At 48.2% G+C, this 14,077-nt stretch overlaps 1 long non-coding RNA gene across 1 annotated transcript, besides 4 other annotated features; it reads left to right on the top strand.

Moving 5' to 3' along the window:
* Positions 410–745: a silencer, noted in NCBI's record as "fragment chr22:19554961-19555296 (GRCh37/hg19 assembly coordinates)". NCBI's record gives its function as "represses an EF-1alpha promoter that drives an FKBP-Casp9 reporter gene in an ReSE screen in HepG2 liver carcinoma cells {active_cell/tissue: HepG2}" and the evidence as "EXISTENCE:reporter gene assay evidence [ECO:0000049][PMID:32094911]".
* On the top strand, positions 1,344–2,053 carry LINC00895 (long intergenic non-protein coding RNA 895). The gene has a single exon (NR_024381.1). It is a non-coding gene; the product is annotated as a long intergenic non-protein coding RNA 895 (long non-coding RNA).
* Positions 12,133–12,835: an enhancer, noted in NCBI's record as "H3K27ac-H3K4me1 hESC enhancer chr22:19542871-19543573 (GRCh37/hg19 assembly coordinates)". NCBI's record gives its function as "activates a minimal SCP1, AML or CMV promoter by ChIP-STARR-seq in naive H9 embryonic stem cells {active_cell/tissue: H9 hESC(naive)}" and the evidence as "EXISTENCE:reporter gene assay evidence [ECO:0000049][PMID:30033119]".
* Positions 12,836–13,538: an enhancer, noted in NCBI's record as "H3K27ac-H3K4me1 hESC enhancer chr22:19542168-19542870 (GRCh37/hg19 assembly coordinates)". NCBI's record gives its function as "activates a minimal SCP1, AML or CMV promoter by ChIP-STARR-seq in naive H9 embryonic stem cells {active_cell/tissue: H9 hESC(naive)}" and the evidence as "EXISTENCE:reporter gene assay evidence [ECO:0000049][PMID:30033119]".
* Positions 13,123–13,417: a silencer, noted in NCBI's record as "tiled region #325; HepG2 Repressive non-DNase unmatched - State 12:CtcfO, and K562 Repressive non-DNase unmatched - State 25:Art". NCBI's record gives its function as "represses a minimal TATA promoter and a strong SV40 promoter by Sharpr-MPRA in HepG2 and K562 cells {active_cell/tissue: HepG2 | K562}" and the evidence as "EXISTENCE:reporter gene assay evidence [ECO:0000049][PMID:27701403]".

Raw genomic sequence — 14,077 nt, 5'->3', positions numbered from 1 at the left:
CCCCTGCCCTCACCCCTAGGTCCAGGTCAGGCAGGGACAGCTGTAATCCTCAACATCACAGGGTATAGATACAATTACCTAGTTATGTGTCCACCTGCCCTATTCAAGTAGAAGCACCTGAGGGCAGAGACTAGGTCTTTTTTGATCTTTGGATGCTGAGTGCCTGGCACAAGGTCTGCACTTGGTGGACACTTCAGTGTCTTAATGATTCAATTCACCCAGTTTTCCAAACCTAGGCATCATCTTAGTTTCTGCTCTAATCGGGAGCCTGTCAATTACTCTGCCCAAAATCTCTCTGGAATCCTTCTTTCTCCCTCCCCACTGCACTCCTGAGCTCAGGCCCTCATTATTCCCTGGACTGAGACTAACTTCCTTCCTCCGAAATCCCCTTTGTATAATTACAATTCCTGTCTGGTTCCTGTAAGTCACTTTACTGAAACACACATCTTATGTAAATTCCACGCCTAAAGACCCTCTGCAGCGTTTCAGGACCTGCAGATGAAGGGGGCTTTCAAGACACTCCCCATGCCTTTCCCACCTCCCGCTCCAAGCCCACCTCTTGCCTCCCTACGAGCCCAACACCGCTCTAGCGATCATTCCCAGAACTCTCTAGACACATCTATGCCCTATGCAGGCTTTCAGGCACCTGCTGTGCCAGGATGCTCCTAGGGCCATCTCTCGTCTCGGCCATCTCCCGTCTTATCCTTCAAGTTCTGGTTCAGAGGTCATCTACTTGACGAAACCTGAGCTGCCCCCTCCTCCCACTCAGAACTCATCCCCTGCCTCTCCTCTCTGACCCCAGGCACTTTCACCGCCACTCCTTACACCACAAGGTCCCTGCCCCACCTTCCTGGCACCAGGCTGCAGCACCCAACGCAAGCGCGTGCAACCAGTCATTAAGCGGCCGCCCCGTTTCCTTCCATTTAACCTTGCTGCGTCGAACATATCGTGCACCCTCTTCATCTCAACAATGGGAAGAAAGAGTTCCAGGGCTATGACGTGCCTGGCCCAAAGCCACGCTGTGGGGCAGAGCTGGGACCTAGGCCTTCTAATTGGAAATCTTATTTATGCGCAGCACTGAATGCGCGGGTCGGCAGTGAGGACCCCAGGGGTCCGGGGTTGAGGGGGCCGTGCCAGCTGCTTCCGCACCATGGCCACCCTGCTCATGAGGACTCAAGTCCGTGCATTTGCTGAAATTTGGTCTCCTTCCACTCTCGGTTGACTAGAACCATTCTCTCCTTCCCGCAGCTGATACGAGAACTTGGGGGGCAGTTGCTGTCTAGTGATCCCCACGTCGGAGCGGAAGCCCGCGGCGCCACACACGCACCACGCACGCCTCGCACATGCGCAGCCCTCGCTCTCGCACGCAACTCGTGGCCACCTAGCCTAGAGGCGGCTGCCAAGCGTCCTGGCTGAGGGATGGCGGGACCCCAGGCGGCTGGAGTGGAGAAAGTTGACCGCCCCCGTCTTTTCTGCCCCGTGGGTGGCTACTGCGTGCCCCCAAGTAACCCAGAGGTTGAGGGCCCCCCAGTGCGCGGCGGCCGGGGGTCAGGATGCGGGACTCCCCTCCACCGCCATGATCTCGCAGTGTGGGGGAGCGCTCGGGGACAGAAATGAGGCCCGAGATGTGTGCCTTCTCCTTGCTCCTGACCGCTGACTTCGTTATTCCAAATACGCAGCCGAAACCATCGCTCTTGCAGGTGCAGCTTTTCTCTGCCTCTCCTATGTGGAAAGCAGCGCAGCGTGGACTCCAGCCAAACTCCCTCGATTGGATTGCAGCTCTCTGGCTCTCTGTCCCTGTGACCTTGGGCAGTTTACCTCCTCTATGTCTCAGTTTCCTCAGCTGTGCAAAGGGGTTACTGATCCTGCTTAATGGGGTGGGTTGTTGTGAAGAGGAAATGAGTTAACATAAGTAGAGAAAGAGACTGGTGCCTGGCAAGCACTATGTGAGTGTTTTGATGTTATTATTGCTGTTTTTATTAGAGCTGTGTGTAACGGGACGTTTAATGAGCCTTTTCCTGTTACCCTGGAATTAGTGAGTCAGGGCACAAAGGTGAGTACCCAGAGGCATTCAGTATCCCACACTGTAAAGGCAGCACAACATGGCAGCACCCAGAGCTTATTGTTAGAGGGCTGAAGAGCCAGCCCTGCCATTCTGAACCACCACCACCCTACCCTCAGGCTTACATAACTGGACAACGGGGGAGGGATGGGGCGGGAGGAAGGGTAAGAGTTTCCCTAAGCAGCTTCCTGGGTGCAGAAATAGGGAGGGTGCGGTGCTATTACTAAAGCCAACAGGGTGTAGCTCAAAGAGAGTTACCATAATGACTTCAGATGCCTAAAAAAGAGAGGCTGGCATCTTCCCTGATTGGATGTCTGCTTGGACAGTGTGAGCTTGCTAGACTGCCTTTATACCTGGCTTTGAAGAAATCTAGAAAACTCAGAGACCTCTGGGCAAGGGTCTTCAGGGGGCTTCCCTGTCATTGCTTGTGCTGTCCAATGCCAGACCACATCCACTAGGCAAGAGGCTGTGGAGCAAACAGCAATAGGGAGTAACACTGATGGCAAAGCTAGTTGGAGTTGGGAGTGAAGGAGGTTGAGCTAGAGCTCGTTTCCCATATCAGAACACTCTATACTGAAGATACCCTGCAGAGCCTTTGGAAAAACTTACATGAACTCCCCATGAAAGAAGGTCAGTGGGGCTGGGCGCGGTGGCTCATGCCTGTAATCCCAACACTTCAGGAGGCCAAGGCGGGCAGATTACGAGGTCAGGAGTTCGAGACCAGCCTGACCAACATGGTAGAACCCCGTCTCTACTAAAAATACAAAAATTAGCCAGGCGTGGTGGCACTTGCCTGTAATCCCATCTACTCAGGAGGCTGAGGCAGGAGAATTGCTTGAACCCAGGAGGCAGAGGTTGCAGTGAGCCGAGATCACACCACTGCACTCCAGCCTGGGTGACAGAGCGAGACTCCGTCTCAAAAAAAAAAAAAAAAAAAAAAAAGGTTAGTGTACAGACTGGCCTCACAGAGATCAAAAACAGCTAGTTGGAGAACTTAAGTTACCTGATTTTAACACTTTAGGGAGGGATTAGATCATGAGGACTCCAACTTCATGAATAGATTAGTGCCCTTATAAAAGGGCCCAAAGGAACCAGCTAGCCCTTTTATGCCTTTCCATCTCTTTCACCGTGAGTACACAGTGTTCATTTCCTCAAGAGGACACAACAAGGCACCATCTTGGAAGCAGAGAGCGAGCCATCACTGGACACCAAACCTGCAGGTGCCTTGATCTTGGACTTCCCAGCCTCTATAACTGTAAGTGATGAATTTGCTGTTTACAAATTATCCAGTTTCAGGTATTTTGTTATAGCAGCACAAACAGACTAAGACACATAATTTTAAAAATTGATTAATCATACTGCATCAAATTTTAAACTTTGACCACTTCAAAAGACACTATTAGACCAGTGGTTGGTTGCCAGGGGTTGCATTTGAGGGGAGGGGATTGACTAGAAGAGGGTATAGGGAAATTTTGGGAGGGTGATGGGAAAATTCTATATCTTGATTGTAGTGGTAGAATTCGCAGAACTCTGCCTAAAAAGGGTGAGTGTTATTAAATGTAAATTATACTTCAATAAACCCAGAGAAAATTAATTTTTAATAAGACCTCATTTAGACAATGAAAGACAAGCTACAGACTAGGAGAATATCTAAACACATATCTCATAAAGTATTTCTACTCAGAATACATAAAGAACTCATTTGGCTCTATAAGAAAATTGCAAACAGGCTGAATGCAGTATCTTAGCATTTTGGGAGGCCGAGGTGGGCAGATCGCTTGAGCCCAGGAGTTTGAGACCAGCTTGGGTAACATGGCAAAACCCCATCTCTACAAAAAAAAAAACAAGTTAGCCAGGTGTGGTGGTGCATGCCTGTAGTCCCAGCTGCTCAGGAGGCTGAAGTGGGAGAGTCGCCTGAGTCCAGGAGGTAAAGGTTGCAGTGAGCTGTGATTGCACCACTGCACTCCAGCTGAGTGACAAAGTGAGACCCTGTCTCAGTAGATAGATAGATAGATAGACAGATAGGTAGATTGATTGATTGATTTACAAACAAAATAATATTTCACCAAAGAAGAAATACAATACAGATGACACATAAGTACCTGAAGGATGCTTGGCCATCATCTGTTGTTAGAGAAACACAAAACCACCAGTGAGACATCACTAAACCAGTACATGTCCACTTGAATGACCCAAATTAAAAAGACTAACAGTAGCAAGTGTTGATGAAGATGTGGAGCAACTAGAATTCTCACATATAGCAGGTAGGAATGAATGCAAAATGATTAGGCCAATTTGGAAAACATTTTGGTAATTTCTCATGAAGTTGTAACCGCTTAACCATTCAGCTCAGCAATCCTACTGCTAGGTACTTAGCCCAGAGACATAGAAACATGTCACCACAAGACTTACCTATAGCAAAATGTTCATAGAAGCATTATGAATAATAGTCAAAAAGTGGAGGCCGGGCACAGTGGCTCATGCCTGTAATCCCAGCACTTTGGGAGGCCAAGGCGGGCAGATCACCTGAGGTCAGGAGTTCGAGACCAGCCTGACCAACATGGTGAAACCCGTCTCTACTAAAAATACAAAAATTAGCCGGGCATGGTGGTGCATGCCTGTAATCCAAGATACTCAGGAGGCTGAGGCAAGAGAATCGCTTGAACCGAGGAGACAGAGGTTGCAGTGAGCCAAGATTGCACCACTGTACTCCAGCCTGGGTGACAGAGCGAGACTCCGTCTCAAACAAACAAACAAAAAGTGGAACAGGTAGATCCATACAGTGGAATAACACTTGGCAGAATAAAGGAACAGACTGCTGCTGCACACAGCAAGAAGGAGTCTCACATTTGTCAGGCTCAGCAGGAGAAGCCAGACACCAAGGGCTGCATACTGTGAAATTCTAGAAAGGCAACACTGTGGTGAGAGAAAGCAGATGAGTACTTAGGGGCTAGGTGTTGGGGGAAAGGATTGACTGCATGGAGCACAAAGTGGGCTCGGCAGTGAAAATATTTTGTATCATAATTGTGGTAGTTATTTGTCAAAAATTGAATTGTGTGCTTAAAATTGGTGAACTTTGTTGTAAGTAAAGTATACCTCAATTTAAAAAAAAATTAAATTAGTGTTAGCCTGAGAAAAATACGGCCAGTGTACCCTGTACGTGGAAAGACTTTTGCCGTTTTCCCTAATTCATTCTCCATGACCTGACATCAGAGAAGGGAGACCCTAAGGAGAGTGGTGGGAATTCAGAGGCAGCACATCCCACCTGTTCTCTTAAAGAGTCCTAAGCCATAAACCCACATGGTGATGGGAGTGGGCAAAGGCTTACCCTGTATTTGAGATTGAACTAGCTGGACTTTGAATAACTGCTTGGGAACTTACGGGATCTGCCCAAAGTATTGTTAAGGGAAATATGGGAAATTTGACAGAGATTCATTGAAGGTAGCAATTAGAGAAAGTAATTTATACCTCCTGAGATGAGATAGCTCAGTAATTTGCATTTATCATTAAATTAGTATAACAGAGCTTCCACAGAGCATGTGGACACAGTACTGTATTTTCCAAATATATATAGATGCCATTGCAGTTAATAAAATACAGACTCAGCTGGGTGCGGTGGCTCACGCCTATAATCCCAGCACTTTGGGAGGCCGAGGCAGGCGGATCACAAGGTCAGGAAATCGAGACCATCCTGGCTAACACAGTGAAACCTCGTCTCTACTAAAAATACAAAAAATTAGCCGGGCGTGGTGGCGGGCTCCTGTAGTCCCAGCTACTCCGGAGGCTGAGGCAGGAGAATGGTGTGAACCCAGGAGGTGGAGCTTGCAGTGAGCCGAGATCGCGCCACTGCACTCCAGCCTGGGAGACAGAGCGAGACTCCATCTCAAAAATTAAATAAATAAAATAAATTTAAAAAAATTAAAAAATAAAATACGGACTCACTTAAGATATTGCTGAGCTTGGCCTGGCATAGTGGCTCATGCCTGTAATCCCAGCACTTTGGGAGGCCAACGCAGGCAGATCACTTGAGCCCAGGAGTTTGAGATCAGCTTGGACATGACAAGACCCTGTCTTTAAAAAAAAAAAAAAATTATAAAATAATACCTACATTGCTGACCTTATAATGCACTTTTGTCATTATATATTTTCTTGATCAGCAGATACTGAAAGTGCAGCTGTTATACCAAGGAGTCCTTGGTGTTTGAGGGAGTGTCCCTACAGGGGTGATAGTACAGCCGATACAGTCCTTTGGAAACAAGAATGGAAATGGGGCTGGGCGCAGTGGCTCATGCCTGTAATCCCAACACTTTGGGAGGCCAAGACGGGTGAATCACAAGGTCAGGAGATCAAGACCATCCTGGCTAACATGGTGAAACCCAGTCTCTACTAAAAATACACAAAATTAGGCAGGCATGGTGGTGGGTGCCTGTAGTCCCAGCTACTCGGGAGGCTGAGGCAGGAGAATGGCATGAAACCAGGAGGCAGAGCTTGCAGTGAGCCAAGATCGCGCCACTGCACTCCAGCCTGGGTGACAGAGTGAGACTCCGTCTCAAAAAAAAAAAAAAAAAAAATTAAGATATGGGCCGGGTGCAGTGGCTCATGCCTGTAATCCCAGCACTTTGGGAGGCTGAGGCGGGTAGATTATGAGGTCAGGAGTTCAAGACCAGCCTGGCCAAGATGGCGAAACTCCATCTCTACTAAAAATACAAAAAATTAGCCAGGCCTGTAATCCCGAGTAGCCTGTAATCTCAGCTACTCAGGAGGCTGAGGCAGAGAATTGCTTGAACCTGGGAGGCAGAGGTTACAGTGAGCCAAGATTGTGCCACTGCACTCCAGCCTGGGCAACAGAGCAAGACTCTATTTAAAAAAAAAAGAAGATACCCCACACCATCTCCTCCCTCAATTCTCTGCCAATTACCCCCCGAAAACCCTAATTCCCAAATCTTTTTCTTCCATTAAGATCTCTCCTAAATTCCAGATGTCTAGCCCACTGCCTACTGGACTTCCTCACTTGCTACCTCACAGGCACCTCGAATTCAGCATTTCCAAATTCTAGTTTATCACCTCTCCCAGTGCCCCGATCGGCTCCCTGACACCGTGTGATGCCACAAGTCACACACTCATGCACATGCACAGAACTGGTAACCAAGGCCCATAGCTCTTATCACCTAAATTTCTTTTTTATTTGTATGAATTTATGGGGTATAGGTGCAGTTTTGTTACATCCATAGATTGTATATTGGTGAAGTGTGGACTTTTAGGGTATCCAACACCCAAATATCTGTACCCATTAAGTAACTTCTCACCAGCCACCTCTCTCCCACCCCTCACCCTTCAAAGTCTCCATTGTCTATCATTTCACACTCTAAGTCCTTATGTACATGTTATTTAGCTCCCACTTACAAGTGAGAACCTGTGGTATTTGTCTTTCTGTGTCCAGCTTGTTTCACTTAAGATAATGGCCTCCAGTTTCATCCATGCTGCTGCAAAAGATATGATTTTATTCTTTTTTATGTCCAAATAGTATTCCATTGTGTATATATACCATGTTTTCTTTCTTCATTCTTCCATCCATGGACACTCAAGCTGATTCTTTGTCTTTGCTATTGTGAATAGTGCTGCAGTAAACATACAAATACAGGTGTCTTTTTGACGTAATGATTTCTTTTCCTTTAGATACCCAGCAACGGGATTGCCAGATCGAATGGTAGTTCTATTTTCAGTTCTTTGAGAAATCTTCCTAGTGTTTTCCATAAAGGTTGAATGAATTTACATCCCCACCCATCACCTAAGTTTCAAGTTCATCCCCAATTTCCCCCCACACTACTTTTGCCTGCAGAATCCTTGCAAATAGCTGCCTGTGCAGTCCCCCTGCCTCCAGTTGCTGCCCCCTCCCCAAAGACTGTGGCTTTGTTTGGATGAGTCTGGCATACCCCATCACCCTTCCCACCCTGCAACGGAAGCCCTCCGGTGGGTTCCCACTGCTCTGAGGACAGAGTCCAAGGCTCCTAGCCAGGCACTGAAGGTCCTGCCTGGGCCAGCCCCAGCAGCCCCCACCCCCAACCCCAGCTCTAGTTCCTTTGTCACCCTGTGGCAGTTCAGCTGTACCCCCACACAGAGAACACTGGAAGGTGCCCAAGGTATGCTTGTTGGGTGGATCAGTCCAATGTTATAAGGTAGGTATTGCCATCACCATTCTGTATATAACTAGATGAGCTCACTGAGGTTAAGACAACTGCACTTAGCTAGTAAATAGAACAGGTCTGGGATGAACCTAGGCCCATTGAACTGGAGAGCCTGAGGTCGTAAACTCTGTGCCAAAGACTTCTTGAGCATGCGAACTCACCGAGATCAGAAGCACACAGCAATGGCTGCACTGCAGTGTTGAGCGGGTGTGGAGATGTGCTTAAATGCCTCAGGGGCAAGGACCAGGGCATAGGAGAAGCCACATGGTGATGGAAGGTGACTGGGGCCACATGGTGATGGCAGGTGGCCAAGACCAGTATGCAGAAAAGGAAGGCAGCACGTGGCATTGCCGGGGCTATGGACAGACTTGCAGGGGTGGGGTGCAGTTCTTAGTTTTCCAAGACAGGAGGGCAGCTGCGGGCCTGGCCCTGACAAGATTCCTTTGACTCAGAGAGGAAATCAAGCTGCATGGCCATCAACCCATGTGAGACAGAAACTGGCTCCTCCTTAGCGCCCTGGGGAACAGCACCCCACCAGGCTGAGCCCTTGAGCTGCAGGAGGAGGAGCTGGCCCAGGTGAGCGTGGAATACTCACCTCCCCGCAGTTTGAGGGGCCTGGCTCTTTCCTTCTGAGGCTACTTTGGGGCCTCACAAATCAGGTGAAAGTTCAGTCGTAATCACACATGTGCTTACATGTAGTAGTTTGTGGAACATTTGCCCTAAACTTGTCCTGGGAACAATCTTTAGAAGAGTTTATTTGGCTGGGCAAGGTGGCTCACGCCTGTAATCCCAGCACTTTGGGAGACCAAGGTGGGAGGTATTGCTTGTGGCCAGGAGTTTGAGACCAGCCTGGGCAACCTCGTGAGACTCCATCTGTACAAAAAAAAAATTTTTTTTTTTTTTGAGACAGTCTCGCTCGCCCTGTTGCCCAGGCTGGAGTGCAGTGGCACGATCTCAGCTCACTGCAACCTCCACCTCCCCAGTTCAAGCAGTTCTCCTGTCTCAGCCTCCCAAGTAGCTAGGACTACAGGTGCGTGCCCCCATGCCTAGCGAATTTTTGTATTTTTAGTAGAAGCGGGGTTTCACCATATTGGTCAGGCTGGTCCTGAACTCCTGACCTCAAGTAATCCACCCGCCTCGGCCTCCCAAAGTGCTGGGATTACAGGCGTGAGCCACCGTGCCCATCCCCCAAATTTTCTTTTTTAATTAGCTGGGTGTTGGCCAGGCGTGGTGGCTCACGCCTGTAATCCCAGCACTTTGGGAGGCCGAGGCGGGCGGATCACCTGAGGTTGGGAGTTCAAGACTAGCCTGACCAACATGGAGAAACCCCATCTCTACTAAAAATACAAAATTAGCTGGGTGTGGTGGCACATGCCTGTAATCCCAGCTACTCTGGAGGCTGAGGCAGTAGAATGGCTTGAACCCGGGAGGCGGAGGTTGCAGTGAGCCGAAATCATGCCATGGCACTCCAGCCTGGGCAAAAAGAGCAAAACTCTGTCTCAAAAAACAAAACAAAAAAATTAGCCGGGTGTGATGGCATATGCCTGTAGTCCCAGCCACTCAGGAGGCTGAGGCAGAAGGATCGATTGAGCCCAGGAGGTCAAGGGTGCAATGAGCTGTGATCCCACCACTGCATTCCAGCCTGGGTGACAGAGTGAGACCCTGTCTCAAAAATAAATAAATGAATAGTATAAAATAAATAAAAGAGTTATATTTAGAAAACAAAAATGAGCAATTATTAAAAATAAGTTTTTACTTCTATTTTCTTTACTATTAATAATTCTCTAGACCATGGTTCAACAAAACAAATTTTTTTTTTTTTTGAGACAGATTCTCAAAATTTTTGTTGTGGGGGGGACAGGTTGAGCGATCACAGCTCACTGCAACATCTGCCTCCCAGGCTCAAATGATCTTCCCACCTCAGCCCCCAGAGTAGCTGGGACCACAGGTGCACACCACCACGCCCAGCTAATTTTTGTATTTTTTTTTGGTGGAGATGGGGTCTTGCTATGTTGCCCCCGCTGGTCTCGAACTCCTGGGCTCAAGCAACCCTCCTGCCTTGGCCTCCCAAAGTGCTGGAATTACAGGCATGAGCCACCACATGTGGCCCAAATGGATATATATATTTTTTTTTTTAATTAATTTTTTTTTTTAGTGTTCTGAAGTTTTAAAGTTTATAAATTAAGACTCTCCGGCCAGGCACAGTGGTTCATGCCTGTAATCCTAGCACTTTGGGAGGCCAAGGCGGGTGGATCATCTGAGGTCAGGAGTTCAAGACCAGCCTGGCCAACATAGTAAAACCCCATCTCTATTAAAAATACAAAAATTAGCTGGGCGTGGTGATGCATGCCTGTAATCCCAGCTACTCAGGGGGCTGAGGCAGGAGAATTGCTTGAACCAGGGAGGCAGAGGTAGCAGTGAGCTTAGATGGCACCATTGCACTCTAGCCAAGGCGACAGAGCGAGACTATCTCAAAAAAATAAAAACAAAATAAGCCTCTCCAAATTGTGATTCAATTAAGACCACAAATCTAGAACCTGAGAGCATTGTTTCTTGCCCATAATTTTCTGCACCCTCATCTCTTCTTTACTTTGGATTGCATTTCGCACCCTCCACCTTCATCAGGTCAGTCCCTCAGTGCGTTTTCTACTTTGCCCCAGTTGCGATGGAGCGCTCCTTGTTTCTGTGATCATATTGACATGGAGGTTTCCCAGGCTCTGCCTCCACACTCTCATCACCTGCCCTGCCAGGATCACCCTGCACCATCCCATCGCTATGAAATGCCACCTTTACCACCCGAACTGGGCTTTGTTGTTGTTGTTAGAGACAACATCTCACTCTGTCGCCCAGACTAGAGTGTAGTGGCTTGACCATAGCTCACTGCAGCCTCGAATTGCTGGGCTCAAGTGATCCTCCCACCTTGGCCTCCCAAAGTGCTAGGATGTATTAAGTTGCTAAATTTATGATAATTTGTATGTCAGCCATAGAAAACCAGTACACATACTTTTGAGAAGAAGGAGGTGTGTGTTTTTGCCCATTCCTTTGGTGCGTCCACACTGTTGTGGAATGTCCTGCCTCTTCATTTTGACCACCAGTTACTATGATTTGGAGACTAGTAGGTCATACTAACTTGGGTACTTGTCACTATTTGTTTTGTTGGAATTGCTGAGGACATGTCGGTGTCTATTAATTTCACTCTGTCTCTTGCAGTTATAATGACAGTCTGTTGTAGGTACCTGAGGTATGTGGGTACACATTTTCATTCTCTCATTCAGCAAATATGCACTGGAATTAGGAGTCTCGCACTTTACTGGCCCCTGCAGCTGCAGAGATGACTGGTCACATTGTCATGGATGAAGGTAACGGCAGAGTAGCGAGGGGCTGTGAACCCCCACTGGAGCTGACTGCCCGCCTAGATCCTGACTCTGCCACTCTCAAGTCCCGTGATGTGTCTCTGTGCCTTCCTTTCCACAGGGGTACATGGATGGCTGGGGCTGCGGGGTAGCGTTGTGTGTGTGCATCCCTGGGAACCATGCCTGGCACTCAGCAGGTGCCAGGTGATGGTACCTGTTGCTACCATCATTGTGACTTCACTGGCTGGGAACTAACACCAACTAAGACAGGAGTTCTTTTTAAAGAGCATAGTGTTCATCTTGTGGACTGGGACCTGTCATGGCCTCCTTGGTGGGGTCAAATCTGGTGTTGCCTGTGGGGTTCCCTGGGCCTCCTAGAGCTGGTTTCAGAAGGCCTGCAGGGCCAGAGGCAAGATGGGCCCAGGTGGGGCATGTCACATCATTATATTTTCTGCCTGTTACAGCAAAGGATATGCCACCACCCTCCTGTGTCTGAAGCTTGCCCAGCCAGCAGGTCCAGCTCCAGTGCTGCGTCATGTGAAAGCCTTCCCCACTATCATGGCCTGCCCTGGATTCTCATGGAATTGTGAGAAAACCTCCAAACACTAACTCCCTACCAAGTCAGCCACTCAGCACATCAGAGTAGTGTCACCTCGGGCTGGGACTGTCCAGAACGCTGGAGTCCCACAGCCTCACTTCCCACTAACAGCTGCTTCCCTCCTCATCCTTGCCCACATGGATTCCAGGCACGGTGGAGTGGAGGAGAACGTCCCATGCTAATGCAGGACACCTTGAGAGAGGAACATCTCCACCGTGGGAGGGACAATGAGTCTCTGGCACTGGGGCTTTGGCCTGAACAGTCTGGATCACCTTCACCCAGAAAACAGCCCCCCAGAGCCCAGGGGTCGGGGGAGCCACATTCCCCCACAGTTCAGAGGGCACACTGTCACATGCCCATCCCTCCCTCAGAATCAGCCATCCCCACTTGGTTGTTCCAGACCTCTGGTTCCTGCTGGGCAGCCCTTCTGCCCAGACCTCTGAAACAGTTGGCAGATGAATTCATGGTATAAGCTAAGCCTGAGGCCAGCTTCCAAGCAAAGTGTTTTAGATTTATGCTTATTTATTTTATTTTATTTTTTAAAGACAGAGTCTCACTCTGTCACCCAGGCTGGAGTGCAGTGGCACGATCTCGGCTCACTGCAACCTCCGCCTCCCTGGCTCAAGCAATTCTCCTGCCTCAGCCTCCCCAGTAGCTGGGACTACAGGCACACGCCGCCACGCTGGCTAATTTCTTTTGTACTTCAGTAGAGACGGGGTGTCACCGTGTTCCCCAGGCTGGTCTCGAACTCTTGAGCTCAAGCAATCTGCCTGCCTTGGCCTCCCAAAGTGCTGGGATTACAGGCATGAGTCATCCTGCCCGGCCTATGCTTATGTTTTTAAGCTCCAAAGACTACTGGTTCTGGGAAGGACTGGGTCACTATGTGACCTTGTGTAGGTCTCTTTTGGCCCTGAGTCCAGGAGGGCTCTGTGACTCCAGGTTGTGGCTGCGTCTGGAAGCTAACAATTGTTTAGTTTACAGTGTCCTTCCTCTTCATCTTGTTTGCATTCAGTTGCCCATGCCTGCCTCTGGGGGGAGGTGGGAAGGAATGTGGCTCCTGGGAGGAGCCCAGCTCCATGTGCCATTCTGAGGAGCCAGGCTGCACGCCCCTGGGCCATAGCTGCTGGTGGATGGATGAGTACACTGGCAGAGGCACTGGGAAGGGAAGACAGAATTGTTGGCCAATAGTCCCCTTTTACTGATTTTCTTGTCATTTTTGTGTTTGTTTTATTATAAAGATAACAGCTGTATTTGAGAAAGAAAGCTCAAACTATAAAGAAAATTTAAAATTGCCCTGTCTTACTCCAACTCCATTCCCTGAAGGTGGCCTGTCTTAACTATTTTTGTTTCTAATTCTTACAGTGGTTGCCTTCGTAATTCTAAAGCATACAACCCACATCTTGATTTCTCAACTGTGTAGTTTCTTTTGGCTCTATTGTATGAAATCAATGTGAAGTTAACATATTTAGACAACCTCTCCTCCTCTCAACCTCTCAATTTGTTCATTACTTTTAGATCTTGTAATCCAGTGCTTTCAAAATGCAGGTTCCCAGGCCGCAGACAAACTCATTGGAATTTGTGGTGGGACCTAGGAATGTGTATTTATAATAGTCTCCCCTAGTTAATTGTGTTCACTAAAGTTTGAAAACCATCATCCTTATAACTAAATAAGTGTCTTAGGAGTTGGGGCATTTTTGTCTGCCCTATCAGAAACCCAGCTAAGGAAGGACATCAGTGAAGATGGAGGATGAAGAAATACAAATTTCACCCCTCCACAAAAAACAATGAAAAAAGGGAAAAAACTCAAAAATCAACTTTTTAAAAATAGCTCTGGACATTAAAAGGCTTGCAGCAGGCCAGGCATGGTGGCTCATGCCTG

The sequence above is a fragment of the Homo sapiens genome, chromosome 22 (genome assembly GCF_000001405.40).
Source record: "Homo sapiens chromosome 22, GRCh38.p14 Primary Assembly".
Lineage (NCBI taxonomy): Eukaryota > Metazoa > Chordata > Mammalia > Primates > Hominidae > Homo > Homo sapiens.
This window is presented reverse-complemented; position numbering and strand designations above follow the sequence as displayed.